Source organism: Homo sapiens, chromosome 16 (genome assembly GCF_000001405.40).
Source record: "Homo sapiens chromosome 16, GRCh38.p14 Primary Assembly".
In the NCBI taxonomy this organism is placed as follows: domain Eukaryota; kingdom Metazoa; phylum Chordata; class Mammalia; order Primates; family Hominidae; genus Homo; species Homo sapiens.
The window spans coordinates 19,210,284-19,228,393 of record NC_000016.10 but is presented as its reverse complement, the minus strand read 5'-3'; the positions used below and the strand labels follow the sequence as shown (position 1 = coordinate 19,228,393).

The following is an 18,110-nucleotide window of genomic DNA, read 5'->3' as shown; positions in this document are numbered from 1 at the left end:
CTTTTAACCAGAGGAGCCTGAACTTCCAAGTCAGGGCCCCAAAACTTACAGGAGAGAAGCGGGTCTTCTGTGAATGGAGAGTACAGGACTTCCCTGACAGCATCAGCTGACCACTGCCCCAGCTGACAGTTGCCACCTGAAGTGCCGTGGGTTGAATAAAAGATGTATGGAGAGGGGGTGTGGTGTGGCTACCCTTGTAGTTTGAGCCTTATGAGGTAACCATATGGAATTCAAGGAATTCGAAAAAACCTCTGCAACTATATGCAAAATTTTCCATACTTCCATGTATTTTTCTGGAGTTCTAATCACAATCCCTGAAGTTCTGTCATACCCCCCCACCCCCAGAATAAATAACCTCAGCTTTTATCATACTACATCATGCAACAGTATCTAATGCAGTTATTAAAAATGAAAAGTTAAATCCATTTGTATTCATATTGATCTGAAGGCAACGAACACATTCATTGTTAATTAAACCAAAGCAAGTGTCAGTGTGGTATCCATGGAATGTCCTGGTAAGCTCCGCCAGGGCAGGGATTAGGTCTGTTTTGTTCACTGCTCTATTCCCAGAACTTGGAAGCACTGCCTGGCACAGAAGGTGTTTAATACACACTTGCTGAATTCATGAATAATGTTTTAAAGGAACAGAACCCTCTGTATGTGGATATTGTTTGTGTGAACAAGGAAAAAAGTGTGGAATGCTACACAGCAGAACATTAAAGGCATGACTTCAGGGAGAAGGAACTGGAAAGGGGAAGGCATTAAAGGAAGACATTAGGCCAGGCGTGGTGGCTCATGCCTGTAATCCCAGCACTTTGGGAGGCCGAGGTGGGCAGATTGCTTGAGGTCAGGAGTTTGAGACTGGCCTGGCCAACATGGTAAAACCCCGTCTCTACAAAAAATACAAAAAATTATCCAGGCATGGTGGCGTGCACCTATAATCCCAAGTACTGAGGAGGCTGAGGCACGAGAATTGCTTGAGCCTGGGAGGTAGAGCTTGCAGTGAGCCGAGATCATGCCATGGCACTCCAGCTGGGCATCAGAATGAGATTGTCTCAAAAAAAAAAAAGCGGGGAGAAGGATTACACAGCAAGAAAACACTCTGAAATAAACAAAACTGCATGAGGGAGTGAGAAGGTGGTGGCTGCCCCATGTGTGTGGGAGAAAAAAGGAAAACACTAAACTTTCCCTTTAATAACAGTTAACAGTTCTAGAGTGCTTACTATGGGTGGCACAGTGCTCAGCACCGTGTGTTTATTGATCTCACTGAATGCAAATAACAATCCTGTGAAGTGTCCTGTATTGTTATCCCCATTTTACAGCTGAGAAAACCTAAGCACGCAGATCTTGCCCAGGGTCACCAAAGTAGGTGAGTGGTAAAGCCAGGACCCAGACATCAGCTCCCCAGCACAGGCACATAACCCCTGTTCTCCTCTGATTCTCTGTCCTTACACATCTTTTCATGGTGTCACTCATTATAACACGTGTGTGCTACATTTATCATAAAATGTTAAGTAAAATATGAAGTGTCAGGGCTTTCCATGGGGGCTCTCAGTTTCCCCTGGGGTCCTCTCCTCATCTAAGCTTACAATAGGAGGTCCCTTATTCTCAGCAGGGACTTGGGAAAAGAGACTTCATTTTTTATCTGTGTCTTGGTTTAATATACAATAGGCCCCACTACCTGCCTGTCCACCATTTAAGGAGTCAGGGGTGACGGTCTTCTGTCTTGGCCTGAAACCTAGGAGAGAGTGAGGCCCTTGTCTATTTGTAACTCCATCCGGACAGCAGCCATCACAGACTGCATTAGAAGGGATCATTATATCTGCATATGGCAGGCATCCCCTGATTCAACGCAGACTCTATGGGTGACAGGCCTTGAGAAAACCCAGAACCAACCTGCTTCGAAGGGGTCTCAGAGGATAGACATTTGCAATCTTGGTGAGAAGGAGCAATAAGTTTATATAGGGGAAATCTTGTATGCAAGGGTTTTTCAGCCATGGATTGATTTCTTGGGAGACCTGGAGCCCAGGGTTCTAGACAAGATCTAACCAGAGGAGAGTTTCCAGTTACCCTGGAGAAGGATGTCTCAAAGGATGATGTCGATCCCCAGTTCTAGCCCTACCTGGGTGTTTGAGGAAATATAGATCCCTTGATATGTGGAGCTGGCAAGACCAGAGCTTGAGTCCTGATTCTATCAGCTTGAGACTTTGTGTAGGTTGTTTAGGTTTTAAGCCTCAGTCCCTAGATCTGTAAGTTGAGGATGAAGATATCAACTTGACAGGGTGGGTTATGGTGAATGTTAGCAATGATATAGGGAAGTACATACTGTAATTAGAACACAAGAAAGAATAACCATTACTCCTACTAACTCTATCCCTGTTGTGGTGAGTAGCTTCTAAGATGAGTCCCAGTGGTTCCCACCTCCCACTCTTCCTACCCTTGTGTAATCCCTTCCTCTTGAGTGTGGGCTGGACCTAGTGAATTGCTTCTAGTGAATAGAATATAATGAAAGTAATAGGATGTCATTTCCAGTATTAGATTACAAAAAGACTCTTCCTTGCCATTCTTGCTCCCTCACTTGACCACTCTGATGAAAGTCATGTTGTGAGTTGTTCTATGGTAAAGCCCATGTGGCAAGGAATTGAGGAAGGTCACTGGCCAACAACCAGGAAGGAACTGAGGTCCCCAGTTCAACAGCCTGCAGGGAACTAAATCATGCTGAAAACTGTGAGTGAGCTTGAAAAGAGATCCTCCCCCAGTTGAGCCTTCAGATGAGGCTGCAGCCTCAGCCAATACCTTGATTGCAGCCTTGTCAGAGGTATTCACACAGAACTATACAGCAAAGCTTTGTATACCTGAATTTCTGACCCACAGGGACTATGAGATATAAATGTTTGTTGTTTCAAGCTACTAAATTTTGGGGTGATTTATTATGCTGCAATAAATAACTAATATACCCTGGAAATACTACATTAGATTACACCCTGGAAAAATGGACTAAATTCTACCAGACAGTGTCACATGAAGCCTCTACTTAAATACTACATCCTCTGGGAAGACTTTAAAAATCCCTTTTTCTGAGTTAGGTGACACTGTTTTTTCATATGCCTCTCTATTTGACTGCAGGGAACTTGAATCATCACCACCATCATCATCAAAACTAACACATAGTGAGTACTTATTATGTACCAAGTATATTGCAAAGTCGTAAGTCATTTACTGTTCACAACAAACCTATGCCACACGTACTATTATTGTTCACATTTTGTAGATGAGGAAACTGAAGCTCAGAGGAGTTAAGTAACTTGCCAAAGACCTCAGTTATTATGTGGCAGTCTGAGGAAATTTGGCTCAAGTCCACATTTCTAACAATTATATTATAGGGCTCTATGAGTCCTGCCCCAGTTCATAGATGTTAAGTGGGTTCAAACCCAGGTAGTTGAATGCCAGACATTACGTTCTTAAATGTAACTCTCTCTAGATGCCTTCTGGCTCTAGGACAGTAAGTTTGACGTGCCTCACCTGGAGTTCATCGGGTTTTGGAATGCTACCTACCTGTAAACACTAGGCTGGCATTTTCCAGTTCTTCTTGGGGAACTTTGAAGCTGAAGGATTCATTGTAGAAAGGATCAATTGTGCCCCTTAAGAAGGACGTCTTCTTGGTTTTCACAAGTTTGAGTCCATGCACCAGCTGGATTTTCACAAAGGGGTCTGAAAATTAGACACAGCATCATAGAATGTTGGAGATCATGAAACCTAATCCGTCCAGTCATTCTGCCATTCAACCTCCCATCCATCTGTCTTTTTATTCCTCCATTCTTCTATCCATCCACCCATTCAACTTTTCATTCATCTCATAGTCCGTCCATTCATCCACCTGTTTATCCATCCATCCATCTTTCCATCCGTCAGTTCACTGATCCATTCATCATCTCACCATACTTTTATCTATCCATTTTCTATCCATCCAATTTCTCATCTATTTGACAGTTCAACCATCCATCCATCTATTATCCATCCATTTTCCCATTCATCTGCTTATCCCCTTCCTTCTTCCTTTAGCCATCTAATATTTGTTGAGCTCCTCCCATATGTCAGCATTGTGTTCATTTTACAGATAAGAAAACTGAGGACTCAAGGTGAGAAATCAGTTTTTAAAGATCTTGCTGGTGGACACAGAACCAGACTCAGAGCCTGCCCTGGATTTCTGTCTGTGGAAACCCATTATCATTTCAGTGAGCCCATAGCCCATATACAGGTGAATAGAGATGGCAGAATTATAATTCATTTTTAGATCATTTTACAGTTTACAAAGGGATTCATGTACATTATCTAATTTAATATTTGTTTAAACAACTTATCAAGATGAATACTGTTATTATGTCAGTTTTTGAGATTGAGAAATTGAGGCACATAGTGGTTAAGTAACTTCCCTAAAGCCACATCATTTGTAAGCCACATCATTTGACTCCTAAACCCTTAATGATTTTATCATACTGACTCTCCCATCGTGGTGAGTCTGAAACTCTTCAGTCTTAATACCATTGCCTCCACTGGCCCTTTCTAAGCCTCTGTTTTTATAATGTGGCTTTTGAGAATGCAAGGTGTCTTCTAGCTGTCACCTTATTGCAAAAGTAATTTATTTTAGCTACCGCACTTAGAGAAGACAATAATTCCACCACTGAGCTGAACAGATCCCTGACTACAGCTGCTTTCACAGTAATATCCTTTGCTGTCATGGAAGAAGCAACATGCAGATGGAATGGAATCTGTTCCGTTCCATTAAAAGTCATGTTTGAATGGTTTTTGCTATAATATACACACTTTAAATACAAGTCTTTTCAGAGTTGGAATTCATAAAAATTTATGGCACACATGAAATGAGCTGGCGAAAAACCTTAGGGTGTGTCCTCCACGCTCATTGATTAGAATGGATAGTCAATGCACACTATCGCCACCTGCAGGATGGCGTCTACATTGCAGGAATAGCATTTGGAAAGGCCAAGTCACTTCCTTGGGTTCAAATAGGTTTTAAGTTTCCAGTAGTTATCACAACCAGTCTCAGTCAACTCCCCAATTCCAATAGGGTTACTAAGATGGCATCATTTACCTGCCTCATCCTGAGATGAGTAATGCTCATCCAGGATACGGAAAAAGAAAACTGGGTTCTCCACACAAACACAGATGCCCCATTAATAAAGTGAGAGAAGAGGGGAATCACACGGTACCTGAACCTTGGCTCACATCTGTCTGAAGAAGTTGCTTGGCTCGAATGACATCAACATTCAGTCTGCCAGCACTTGGGAGATAATTCAGTGACAGAAGCAGCTCCCCCAGCTCCACTTCATTCTGTAGAGAAAGGAAATGATCAGGAAGTTGCCTTCTCCTTTTATTCCTTTTGCACCCACCATACAAGAAATTGATTGCAGCAGCTCACAAACAGGTTGCTGTGAGCGCATCAGTTGACAGTGGGAGCCTCTGTGTGTGACTTCTTTTCATCTCTGCCTCTAATTATTGTGGTCCATCTATCTCTGAGTTTTTTCCGCTCTTAGATCACTCAACAGCAACAACAATAACAACAAAAGCAGCAATAATTTTTTAAAAAATGCTTCACTGCCATGTACTACGCTAAGCGCTTTACATGTAATGACTAATGAGTCTGTGAGGTATTAGTATTAACTCTGTTTAACAGATGAGGAAACCGAGGCTCACAGGGTTAAATAACATGTCCAAAGCCACAGCAAGAAAGTGGTAGAGCTGGTACTTAAACCCAGGGAGGCTGATTTGGTTCCAGATACTCTGACTGCTGTTATTCTGCCATCCAATAGGATACCTGGGAGGTAGAATGCCCTGCAGAGGAACTGAGTGAGAAATCTGTTCTTAACCTGGAGTCCCCAGCAGATCCCACGCTTCTAACCTCACGATAGCAACACTCGGCACAGTGACATCCCTTGTTGAAGAGTACCCATCCCCTTGATGTCAGCTCTGTCACACTGTGGAAAATTCCCATGAACACCTAAGTGCATGACTCCATACTGCCAAAGGTACCTAGAAAACAGGAGGCCTCCCACTTCTCTGTCCCCTTTTAAAAAAAAAAGTATTGTAGAAAATTTCAGCCATATACAAAACAATAGACTAGCATAACAAATCTCCATCTATCCGTCACAAAATTGTAACAATTATCGACATTTTGCCAAATGGTATTTCACCTATATTCTGACTTGTGAAACGTTTTAGCTGAATATTTTAAACTAAGCCCTCGATATGGTGTCATTGTACCTGCATATCCTTCAGAATGCATCTTTAACTGATGAGGACATTAAAACAAGCATTTTAGTGTGGGAAATTTCCAGTCATATTCAAAACCAGACAGAAGAGTATACCCCACCATCTTCGTACCCAAACATCATTCAGCTTCAAAAATTCTCATCCCATGGTGAATCTCCCCTCACTTACACCTTCATTCAACTCCCCATATTCCTCTGAAGTAACTCCCAGTCATTATATTATTTGTAATATTTCAATATGTATCTTTAAAGGGTAACATCTCTATCTATCTATCTAACTGTCTCATCTATCTATAATCTAACCATCTATTATCTGTCAGTCATCTATTTATCTATGTCTATTATCTATCTTTATCATCTATCTTTCATCTCTATCTTTTTTGATGCCAGTCATTTCAACAAATTAATGCCAAATGCCTAGCACAATACCCAGCGGCTCTAGAACAATGCCTAGCACATAGTAGATACTCAATAAACATCTACTGACAGGGTGAACAGTCAAACCAAAAGATTCCTGTACTGAGTGAGTTAGTCCCCAAACAAACAAGAAACAATCTCGCATGTTAACTCAGAAGTTGCTAACAAACAGCCTGCAGGTGTATTTTGTTTGCCCCACATCACATTTTAACTTATAATTACTTGTTAATTATTATACAATTCAAGAATCAGGCTATTCCACATTTTTAAAAAATGTGGGTTTCTTGCCTTGCTTGAAAAACAGGAAGATCTGGTAACGCTGGCATTCCCACCAGGCAAGTGACAAAGATTCTTTACTTGACCAAACTTTAGTCAGGCTCCTAAACCTCCTAGGCCCATCAGTGCACCACCTTGTAAAATCCAGTTTCTGCAAAGAACGCTGCTAAGTCAGTTTGGTCAGATTCCTCATTCTCTCTCTCTCTTTTTTTTTTTTTTTTTTTTTTGAGACAAGGTCTCACCCTATCACTCAGTCTGGAACAATGGCATGATCATAGCTCCCTGCAACCTCAAATTCCTGGGCTCAAGGGATCCTACTACCTTAACATCCTGAATAGCTGGGATTACGGCATGTGCCACTATGCCTGGATGATTTTTTTTTTTTTAAGAGTTGAGGTCTTCCTGTGTTACCCAGGCTGGTCTTGAAATCCTGGCCTCAAGTGATCCTCCTGCCTTAGCCTCCCAAACTGTTGGGATAACAGGCATGAGCCATCATGCCCAGACAGGTTCTTCATTCTTCGTCATCCCTCAGGTAATGTCTGATCACCCTGGCCTGTCTCCAGCAAAAATCCTGCTAGGTTGATTTAGCCAGAGTCCCCCTTACTCCTCTGATGCTTCCTCTTAGTAATGTTTTTAAAAAATCCCTGACCCCCGACTTTGCTCCATGGCTATAGATTCCCATTTGTCTATGCTGTATTTGAGGCTGAGCCTAGTTTCTCTCTGTGACTGAAAAATCCCATTACTGTGGTCCCTGTACATATCATGATGGTCCTCAATAAATTCTGCCTTGCCATACTTCAAGAAGTGTCATTGAGGACCAGGTGCAGTGGCTCATGCCTGTAACCCCAGCACTTTGGGAGGCCAACGTGGGTGGATCATCTAAGGTCACGAGTTCAAGACCAACCTGGCCAACATGGTGAAACCCCATCTCTAGTAAAAATACAAAAATTAGTCAGACATGGTGGTGTGCACCTGTGATCCCAGCTACTTGGGAGGCTGAGGCAGATCACTTGAATCCAGGAGGCGGAGGTTGCAGTGAGCCGAAATCACACCACTGCACTGCAGCCCAGGCACCAGAGCGAGACTTCATCTCAAAAAAAAAAAAAAAAAGAAAGAAAGAAAGAAATGTCATTGAATAATTTTCTTTAACCCAACATCTAGCCACAGAGCAGTGCAGTGCTCCTTTAGATGGGACCTGCCCCCTTCACATCATACCTCATCTGTCCATTTCTGCCCCTTTACATTCCTGCTGCCCTGCCCTGGGTATCCAAGTATGGAGATTTTCAAAATAGGAATGGTCAACTGAGTGTCTTGAGTAATAAAAGAAGTTCAGCCCCTTTTGCACTGTTGCTAGGGGTTTCCTGCTGCTTCTCAAGGGCTTGGAAGATGCGGTGTCTTTAGGGCATGACCCTGCTGACACATCTACTCTAGTATGAGCAATGCGGAGAATTCTCAGGAGCCCAGGCCATCCAGGTCCTCCTGGACTTTGCTCCTCCCAGGTTTATAAGTCACAGTGATATTTCCTTTTATTTTAAAACAAAACAAAACAAAACAAAAACAAAACAGAACAAAAAACAGTTTACTATGTACCAGGACTAAGGATACACCAGTGAGAACCGTCCCTGACTTTATGGAACATACACTCCTGTGGGGGGGATGGATAGCACACAGATTTTAAAAAATACATAAATGAGATGATTTCAGGTAATGCTAAGTATTAGGAAGAAAAATATAGCAGAGTGAGAGAAAGGAAGAACATTTCTTGGGTGATAGCAATATGCTATATCTTGATTGTGGTAGCAGTTACGTGTGCATTTGCCAAAAATCAACAAACAGTAAGTTCCGCCTCAATGCAGTTGATTGAAAGGGAGTGATTTGAAGTAAGCAAATGTGGCAAAATATTGGCGACTTACGACATCTGGGAGATGGACACATGGGTGTTTGTTTTATTATTATTATTATTATTATTTTTTTTTTTTTTTTTTTTTTTTTTTTTTTTTTTTTTGAGACGGAGTCTCGCTCTGTCGCCCAGGCCGGACTGCGGACTGCAGTGGCGCAATCTCGGCTCACTGCAAGCTCCGCTTCCCGGGTTCACGCCATTCTCCTGCCTCAGCCTCCCCAGTAGCTGGGACTACAGGCGCCCGCCACCGCGCCCGGCTAATTTTTTGTATTTTTAGTAGAGACGGGGTTTCACCTTGTTAGCCAGGATGGTCTCGATCTCCTGACCTCATGATCCACCCGCCTCGGCCTCCCAAAGTGCTGGGATTACAGGCGTGAGCCACCGCGCCCGGCCTTGTTTTATTATTTTATGTGGGAAATATTCCCATTAAAAACATAAAATAAATATGAAAAAGGAAAACAAGACAAATTAGGCAGTGTAAGAGAATGGATGGGGTTCGCGTGGGAGCTGCCCTTTCAGTCGGTGGATGGGGTAGGGTTTCTCTGAGAGGCGAGGTTTGAAGAGGAATGAGGGAGGAAAGAGGGATAGGGACTCATGGGGCAGAGGGAACAACATGTGCAAGGTCTGGGATGGAGGGAGGGAGGAATAAACCCGGCATCACTCAGTCAGTGTGTTCAAAGGAACAAAGAGAAGGCCAGTGTGGGCAGAATGAATGGATTCTAGAGACGCCTACAGGAACCAAGGCAAGCTGCCCAGTGGTTGATCCCAGGGGCTCTGCCCAATCCTGGCAGTCTTCACAGAACTGGAAGGAGGTGGTGAGGCCATCTTCTGGGCCCTCAATACCTAAGAGCCCCTCAAGCCACCTCTGCAGCCTTCAAGTGTGGATAGAATTGTTCCTTCCCTCCCCTGGGGCCATTGATCGAACCTTCAACAAGGCACTTCCTGAAGTCATCCTTTTTCTAAGAAGACTGAGTGTTTTTCATCTTAAGAAAGCAAAGCTCTTTTATTCCTTCTTCCCTTTGCAGATACAAGCTTGCTGTACTCTCTACCCATCCCATCCTCCATACACAGCATGCACAACAGGGATTTCAGGTTGTACTTTTCCAGGGAACCATTCCCATTGATCCGGCCACTGTTTCTGTCTGCCTTATCTGGGGAGTGATCAATTTGTAAAACTGTTGTCTGGAGTCAGGGGAGCAGTTGATAGAAAGTAAAAAAGAGGGCTAATTGTGCAATAGCAAAGGATTCATTGATTCATTTAATAAACGCTCATGTAACAGGTACTAGGTCCAAGCACTTGGGGATGTCACGATTATGATTGTTACAGCAAACCTTTATGGAGAAATCACCATAGTCCTGGCACTGTCCTGGCACTAAAGCTGAATCGCATTTCTTTTCCTTAACAACTCCAGAGGCTTCCATCTTGCAGATGAAAGAATTCAAGCTTAGAGAGCTTGAGCTGCATGACTTGCTCCAGATCATATATCATAAACAAAAAGAACAAGGTTCAAACTCAGCCCATGGTTAACCCTTACACAAGGTTTCTGGTGATTAAGCAGCAATCCCAGACATCAAGCAACTCAGTATCTATTGGTGGAGAGCAAGGAAGATATAAAAACAAATCAAAATTCCAGGGGCTGCACACCCACTAGGATGGCTATAATAAACACACACACACAAAATCATAAGCAGTGTTGGCCAGGATGTGGTAAACAAGAACGCTGTATACTGCTGGTGGTAATGAAAACTGGTGCAGCTGCTTTGGTAAACAGGTTGGTGTATGACCCAGCAGTTCCATTCCTAGGTGTATACCTAAGAGAATAGGAAACATGTCCACATGAAAACTTGTACGCAGATGTTCATAGCAGCACTATTCACAATAGACAAAAGTGGAAGCAGCCTAAATGTCCATCAACAGATAGATAAACAAAACATCACCTATCTATGCAATGGTAGGTTATTCATTCATAAAAACAATGAAGCATTGATACAATGTAGACAAACCTCAAAAAAGTGAAAGAAGCCAGACACAAAAAATCACATATTGTACAGTTCCATTGATAAAATATCCAGAATAGGTAAATCCATAGAGATAGAAAGTAGATGAGTGATTGCTAGGATCTGGGAGGTGGGGGAAATATGGAGTGACTGTTTAATGGATACAGGGTCTCCTTTGGGTGATGGGAATGTTCCATATGGAACATTCCAATTATGGAATTCCATAATTCCAGAACTGGAATTAGATAGAGGTGATGGTTGCACACCACTGAGAATTTACTAAATGCCACTGAATTGTATATTTAAAATGATTACATTTATACTATGTGAATTTCACCTCAATTAAGAAATAATTGCAAACATATGGAAAAAAGCTCATCATCACTGGTTATTAGAGAAATGCAAATCAAAACCACAATGAGATATCATCTTACACCAGTTAAAATGGCGATCATTAAAAAGTCAGGAAACAGCAGATGCTGGAGAGGATGTGAAGAAATAGGAAAGCTTTTACACTGTTGGCAGGAGTGTAAATTAGTTCAACCATTGTGGAAGACTGTGTGGAGATCCATCAAGGATCTAGAGCCAGAAATACCATTTGACCCAGCAATCCCATTACTGGGTATATATCCAAGGATTATAAATCATTCTACTATAAAGACACATGCACATGTATGTTTATTGTGGCAATATTCACAATAGCAAGGACTTGGAACCAACCCCAATGTCCAACAATGATAGACAGGATAAAGAAAATGTAGCATATATACACCATGGAATACTATGCAGCCATAAAAAAGGATGAGTTCATGTCTTTGCAGGGACATGGATGAAGCTGGAAACCATCATCCTCAGCAAACTAACACAGGAACAGAAAACCAAACACCGCATGTTCTCACTCATAAGTGAGAGCTGAACAATGAGAACACATGGACACAGGGAGGGGAATATCACATACCAGGATCTGTTGGGGGTTGGGGGGCTAAGGGAGGGATAGCATGAGGAGAAATACCTCATGTAGATGACAGGTTGATGGGTGCAGCAAACCACCATGGCATGTGTATACCTATGTAACAAACCTGCACGTTCTGCACAGGTACCCCAGAACTTAAAGTATAATAAAAAAAAAAAAAAAGAAATAATTGTAGGGCTCAAGTATTAATCAGCAATATAAATGAAACCCAAGACAGACTGAAGCACAATCTATTCTTGGGAGGGGCATGGTCAAGGAAGTCTTCATGGAGGAGGAGGCATTTGAGTTAAGCCTTGATAAGTAGGATTTAGTCCAGCAAATATTGCAGGGAAGGGTGCCCCATACAGATGGAACAGAATGAGGGAAGCCTTCACTAAAGCCCCAATACTCTTTGTTGTGTTCTGATCCTGAATTTATCAATATTATTATATAAAAGTTGATATGGTTTGGATGTGTTCCCGCTCAAATCTCATCTTGAATTCCCACATATAGTGGGAGGGGCCTGGTGGGAGGTAATTGAATCATGGAGGCAAGTCTTTCCCATGTTGTTCCCGTGATAGTGAATAAGTCTCACGAGATCTGATGGTCTTAAAAAGAGGAGTTTCCCTGCACAAGTTCTCTCTGTTTGCCTGCTGCCATCCATGTAAGACGTGACTTGCTCTCCTTGCCTTCTGCCATGATTGCAAGGCTTCCCCAGCCACGTGGAATTGTAAGTCTAATTAAAACTCCTTCTTTTGTAAATTGCCTAGTCTCAGGTATGTCTTTATCAGCAGCATGAGAACAGACTAATACAAGGGCCAAGTAACTTATTATTAATAATAAAGTTGGCTGGGTGCAGTAGCTCATGTCTGTAATCCCAGTACTTTGGGAGGCCAAGGCTGGAGGATTGCTTGAGGCCAGGAGTTCAAGACCAGCCTGGTAAACATGGTGAGATGCCCCACTTTGCTACAAAAAAATTAAAAAATTAGCCAGCTGTGGTGGTGAGTACCTGTGGTCCCAACTATGTAAGAGGCAAATGTGGGAGGATTGCATGAGCCCAGAGGTTTGAGGCTGCAGTGAACTATGATAGATCCTTGGCAACTGAGAAAGACCCTATCTTAAAAATAAGTAAATAAAATAAAGCAGCCAAAGATGGTTAATAATTTGGATGTTTGAAATAAATTAGTGAGGATTCTCCTTAGAAACAACATCACCTTCACCCATTTACATTCCTGGTTTGTTGTTGTTGTTAAGTGTTAAAGACAATACTGGTTTCTCCCTCAGAACAGGTGTGTGCTCTTGGCCACTTAGGAGTGGATGATGCCCTCCCCACTTCTACATCAAATAAATTTTAAAAAAAGAGAAATATAATTTTTGGCAAGAATTTGGTATTTCAGAAATAGCACTGCAGTTCCCGTTGAGAAATCAGAACATTGCTGAGATTTACATTTGAGAATTATTGCAGCAGTCCTTTTTGTCCGGGCACGGTGGCTCATGCCTGTAATCCCAGCACTTTGGGAGGCCGAGGCAGGCAGATCACTTGAGGTCGGGAGTTCGAGATCAGTCTGGCCAACATGGTGAAACCCCGTCTCTACTAGAAATACAAAAAGTAGCTGTGTGTGGGGTGGGCGCCTGCAATCCCAGTTGCTCAGGAGGCTGAGGTGGGAGACTCCCTTGACCCAGAAGGCGGAAGTTTCAGTGAGCTGAGATTGCACCACTACACACCAGCCTGGGCAACAGAGCAAGACTCTGTCTCAAAAAAAAAAAAAGAGAATTATTATTATCTTGAATGACATATGGTGAGCAGCGCCATAATTTTCAGGGCTTGGGGGCCTCAGAGCCTTATCCTAACCCAGCCCTGGAGGAAAAGGAGAGTTGCCATCACACTCAGGGTCTCTGCCCCAGAATATGTTGTACGTATGAATAACATCGTTCACTTGGGCATCATAAATGTCGGCTCTAACAATCTAGGGACAAAAATGTCCCTGGGGTGTTCCTGGAGCCAGCATCTTCTCAGTCCTTCTTCCCTAGAAGTATCAGATGCTACATCTAAAAGCTGACGAGGGCCAAGCATGGTGGCTCATGCCTATAATCCAAGAGCTTTAGGAGGTCAAAGTGGGAAGATCAATTGAGCCCAGGAGTTCGGAGCTGCAGTGAATGTTGGTGGTGCCACTGCACTCCAGCCTGGGCAACAGAGCAACACATGGTCTCTAATTTAAAACAAAACAAAAAAAGCTGACCAGGAGCCAGCTGATAAGGAGCTTAGAATGTAGGAACAGAAAGCAGGACCATCTAGTCCAGCAGCTCCTCAACTTGCCCCACTTAGGAAGATCATGAAATTAATGGTGATCTTTACAGACATCCATGAGGTGCTAGGACATCCAACTTGCATCAACCTGGGGTAATTTTGTCCTCTCTGCTGCCACCTCCAGGGACATTTGGCAACATCTGGAGATGTTTTAGTTGTCATAACTGGGGAATAGGGTAGGGTCTGCTACTGGCATCTAGTGGGTAGAGAGAGACCAGGGATGCTGCCAAACATCCTACAAGGTACAAGACAGCCCCCCTCAACAAGGAATGGTCTGGCCCAAAATATCACTAGTGCCAAAGGTGAGAAATCCTGAACTAAGCCTATAAATCTTGGGCTGATTCAGATTTTTTAAATACATAACTGTACCCTGAACAAAATTTTAACAGGAACCGAAGACTTGGAACTTTTGGTATAAGAACAGTTCGTCAGGTGCAGTGGCTTGAGCCTCTAATCCCAACTACTCGGGAGGCTGAGGTGGGAAGATGGGTTGAGGCCAGGAGTTTGAGGCCAGCCTGGGCAACAAAGCAAAACCTTCCCACCTTCCATTTCTAAACTTTCTTTATTTTTATTTTTTAATTAGCTTAGCATGGTGGCATGCATCTGTGGTCCCAGATACTCAGGAGGCTGAGACAGGAGGAATGCTTGAAGCCAAGAGTTTGAGGCTATCTGATGCGAGAAGCTCCTCTTCAAAGGTTTAGCTTGTTTAGTTTCCTTGTTCTTTGTTCTCTACTTTTAAGGCCAAACTTCCTTGCTCTCTGTACCTCCCTGTCTTGGTTTCAGTAAACAACTCTTCCACTGGTCCTTATCTACAGAGCCTACATCTACTACCCACTCTGTAAATTACCCCTCCCATCACAGCAGCTCTTCCCACCAAAACTGTCCTTCCTGCCAGTGTAACCGCATTCCCGCACTTTCCAAGTTAGCCAACCAGGTTCAGCTTAGATTGTGTGGTCCAACTCCAACCTGTGGAGGCAGGACACAGTAGCAGGGACAAGCTACGTTAGGGATAAAAACCCCTTCCCTCCTTTGTTCAGTGCACTCTCATGATGACTAGACCTGTGAGAAACACCTTCCTACAGAAGTAAATTTTGCCTTACTGGGAAATCCTTTGTTTTAGTGCTCATTTTCTTTGTGACACTGCACATTTGTTTCTAACAAGGCTTTAGTAAGCTATGATTGAACCCCTGCACTCTAGCCTGGGAGGCACAGCAAGACCCTGTCTCTTAAGAAGAAAGAAAAGTCTATTCACTGCCTCCACTGAGTCTGTCTTCAGTCCCCTCTGGATCTGAAGAGGCCAAAGCACCAGCCACAATCCAGAGCCCAGAAAGATCCAGCTAAGATTTCCTTCCTTCTTCTTTCTCCTTAAGCCATTCTTTTTCACTGCAAAGTGGACATCCAAGCACCAAATACAAAAATCCTCCTAGGAAGTGGGTTCAGCCCTCCCAAGGAAAATGGATTGCTTGTTCTGGTAGGATCTCCAACTCTGTGAAGTCTTCCTTATCCAAATTTAGTGAGATAAGATTGGAATGTCAGAGCTGAAATAATTTAGACCAATATTCTGGTTTTCTAAAAGAAAACGGAACCATGCCATTACCTCACTTCCCCGTTTATTTCTTATTTATTTATTTATTGTGACAGGAATCTCGCTCTGTGGCTCAAGTTGGAGTGCCCTGGCACAATCTTGGCTCACTGTCGCCTCTGCCTCCTGGGTTCAAGTGATTCTTGTGCCTCAGCCTCCCGAGTAGCTGAGATTACAGGCATGAGCCCCCATGCCCAGCTAATTTTTGTATTTTTAGTAGAGATAGGGTTTTACCATGCTGGCCAGGCTGGTCTCGAACTCCTGACCTCAAGTGATCTGCCCACCTTGGCCTCCCAAAGTGCTGGGATGACATGTGTGAGCCACCATACCCGGCCTCACTTCCCTGTTTAAAACCCTCCATCTCTCAAAATAAAATTCAAAGTGCTTAGCCTGGTCAACAACAGGGTTTGTCAACCTCAGCACTATTGCCACTTTGGGCTGGAGCATTCTGTGTTGTGGGAGCTGTCCTGTGCGCTACAGGAAGTTTAGCAGCATCTCTGGCCTCTACACACTGGATGCCAGCGGCATCACCCCTCTCCCCAGTGGTAAAGTCTCAGAATGTCTCCAGACATCGTCAAATGTCCACTGAGGGCAAAAATCACCCAGTTGAGAACTAATGGTCTCTAAAATAATTTATCTACGGGATCGAAATGATTTGATCCAAATGATTTGATTCCTGCCTACCTCTGAGACTTCACTCACCAACCGCCTCTGCCTTCTTTCTATTCTTTAAAAATACAAGATCATTGGCCAGGCACGGTGGCTCACACCTGTAATCCCAGCATTTTGGGAGGCTGAGGCGGGCGGATCACGAGGTCAGGAGATCGAGACCATCCTGGCTAACACAGTGAAACCGAGTCTCTACTAAAAATACAAAAATATTAGCCGGGCTTGGTGGCGGGCGCCTGTAGTCCCAGCTACTTGGGAGGCTGAGGCAGGGGAATGCCGTGAACCCGGGAGGTGGAGCGGAGCTTGCAGTGAGCTGAGATCCCGCCACTGCACTCCAGCCTCGGCGACAGAGCGAGACTCTGTCTCAAAAAAAAAAAAAATACAAGATCGTACCTGCCCCAAGGCTTGAACTTGCTATTCCCTGGGAATCTCAACTCAACAGTCACCTCCTCATCTAAGCTTCCCATTAACACTCAGTTGAAAACACCCCTCTGCCTCCATCATTTCCCATCACACCACCTTGTCATTTCCTTCACGGTACTTGGTCCTTACCTTTTTCTCCATAAAGGCAAAGAAAGTGCCCATGTGTCCACTACTATATTCACAGCACCAGAAACAAATCCAAGATCAAGCAGTGCAGCCCCCAACACAGAGGCTGAGCTGCTGCCACACCACGGGCCGAGAGGGGTTGTCAGCACGATGTTCCACCCCCTGTCCTATCCAACCCCCACAGAATCGAAGCCAAGACAGGAGAAGGAACTGGGTGACAGGCCCACTTCTACCTCGTCCCTTGTGGAAGCGATGTCACAAATAAACAGGCCTCATTTCCTTTCTTGTAAGAGCCCGATGCGCTTAATTTGGTCGAACCACGTGGGGTGGGCTAGGGAGAACCAAAATAGACAATCTGTAAATTACTCAGATGAATCCAGCAGCCGGCTTGGGCAAATGTGGCTCAGCTCTCTCCTCTCTACCCAGACAAAAATTCTCTCTCCCGGCAGCCTTTCAACACAGTTAATTTCTAATCAATAAAAAGGAAATCAAAGAAAATCATCTGGGACAAAAGACATTTTCTGGAGATAGCAAGAGCCCAGCTCTCCTCCTGACAGGTTTGCTTTGAACTCCTTCTCTATGGTCCTTTCGCTCTCTCTCACCTAGCAAAGGGTTTCAAATGTGCGCACACAAATTTTAGTGAAGCCCAAACACAGCTGCTCTGCGCCCCCTTATGCCTTTGCTCTCACCGGTTGGATAAAGTCTATTGTCTCTTAATCTGCTGCACAAACAACATTAAAATAGAAATGGATTTTTTAAAAAGCAAACTCCAACCGCAATGCCAGTGCTTTACACATTTCATCAAATGCTTTCACTTCCTTTTCTTTCTTCTTCTTTCTTCTCTTCACTTTTTTTCCCAGTCTTTGTCAATACCTCAACCCTGTATTTGCATAGCTGCATTGACAATACAGTCACATTCTGAAATACCCTTTAAGAAAAAAAAAGGGTATTTAAAAAAAAAAAATACCCTTTAAAAAAAAATACCCTTTTAAAAAAAAATACCCTTAGATCAGAGGGGAGAGGATAAAGAGAAGTGGGTTAAAGGGTACAAACATACAGTTAGTGAGAAGGAAAAAATTCAATGTTTGGGGCTGGGCACGGTGACTCACGCTTGTAATCCAAGCACTTCGGGAGGCCAAGGTGGCAGGATCACTTGAAGCCGGGAGTTCAGG

At 43.5% G+C, this 18,110-nt stretch overlaps 1 protein-coding gene across 16 annotated transcripts in view; it reads right to left on the bottom strand.

Annotated features, from left to right (window-relative positions):
- The window catches only part of SYT17 (synaptotagmin 17), a 100,499-nt gene that overhangs the window by 39,939 nt on the left and 42,450 nt on the right, over window positions 1–18,110 (bottom strand). For all 16 annotated transcript variants that reach the window (XM_047434203.1, XM_047434206.1, NM_001330509.2 and 13 more), the window contains 2 exons: window positions 5,229–5,349; window positions 3,556–3,711 (listed from right to left, as the gene is read on the bottom strand). In XM_047434203.1, the coding sequence (XP_047290159.1) occupies window positions 3,556–3,711; window positions 5,229–5,349 (277 nt within the window). The remainder of the gene's footprint in view (window positions 1–3,555; window positions 3,712–5,228; window positions 5,350–18,110) is intronic.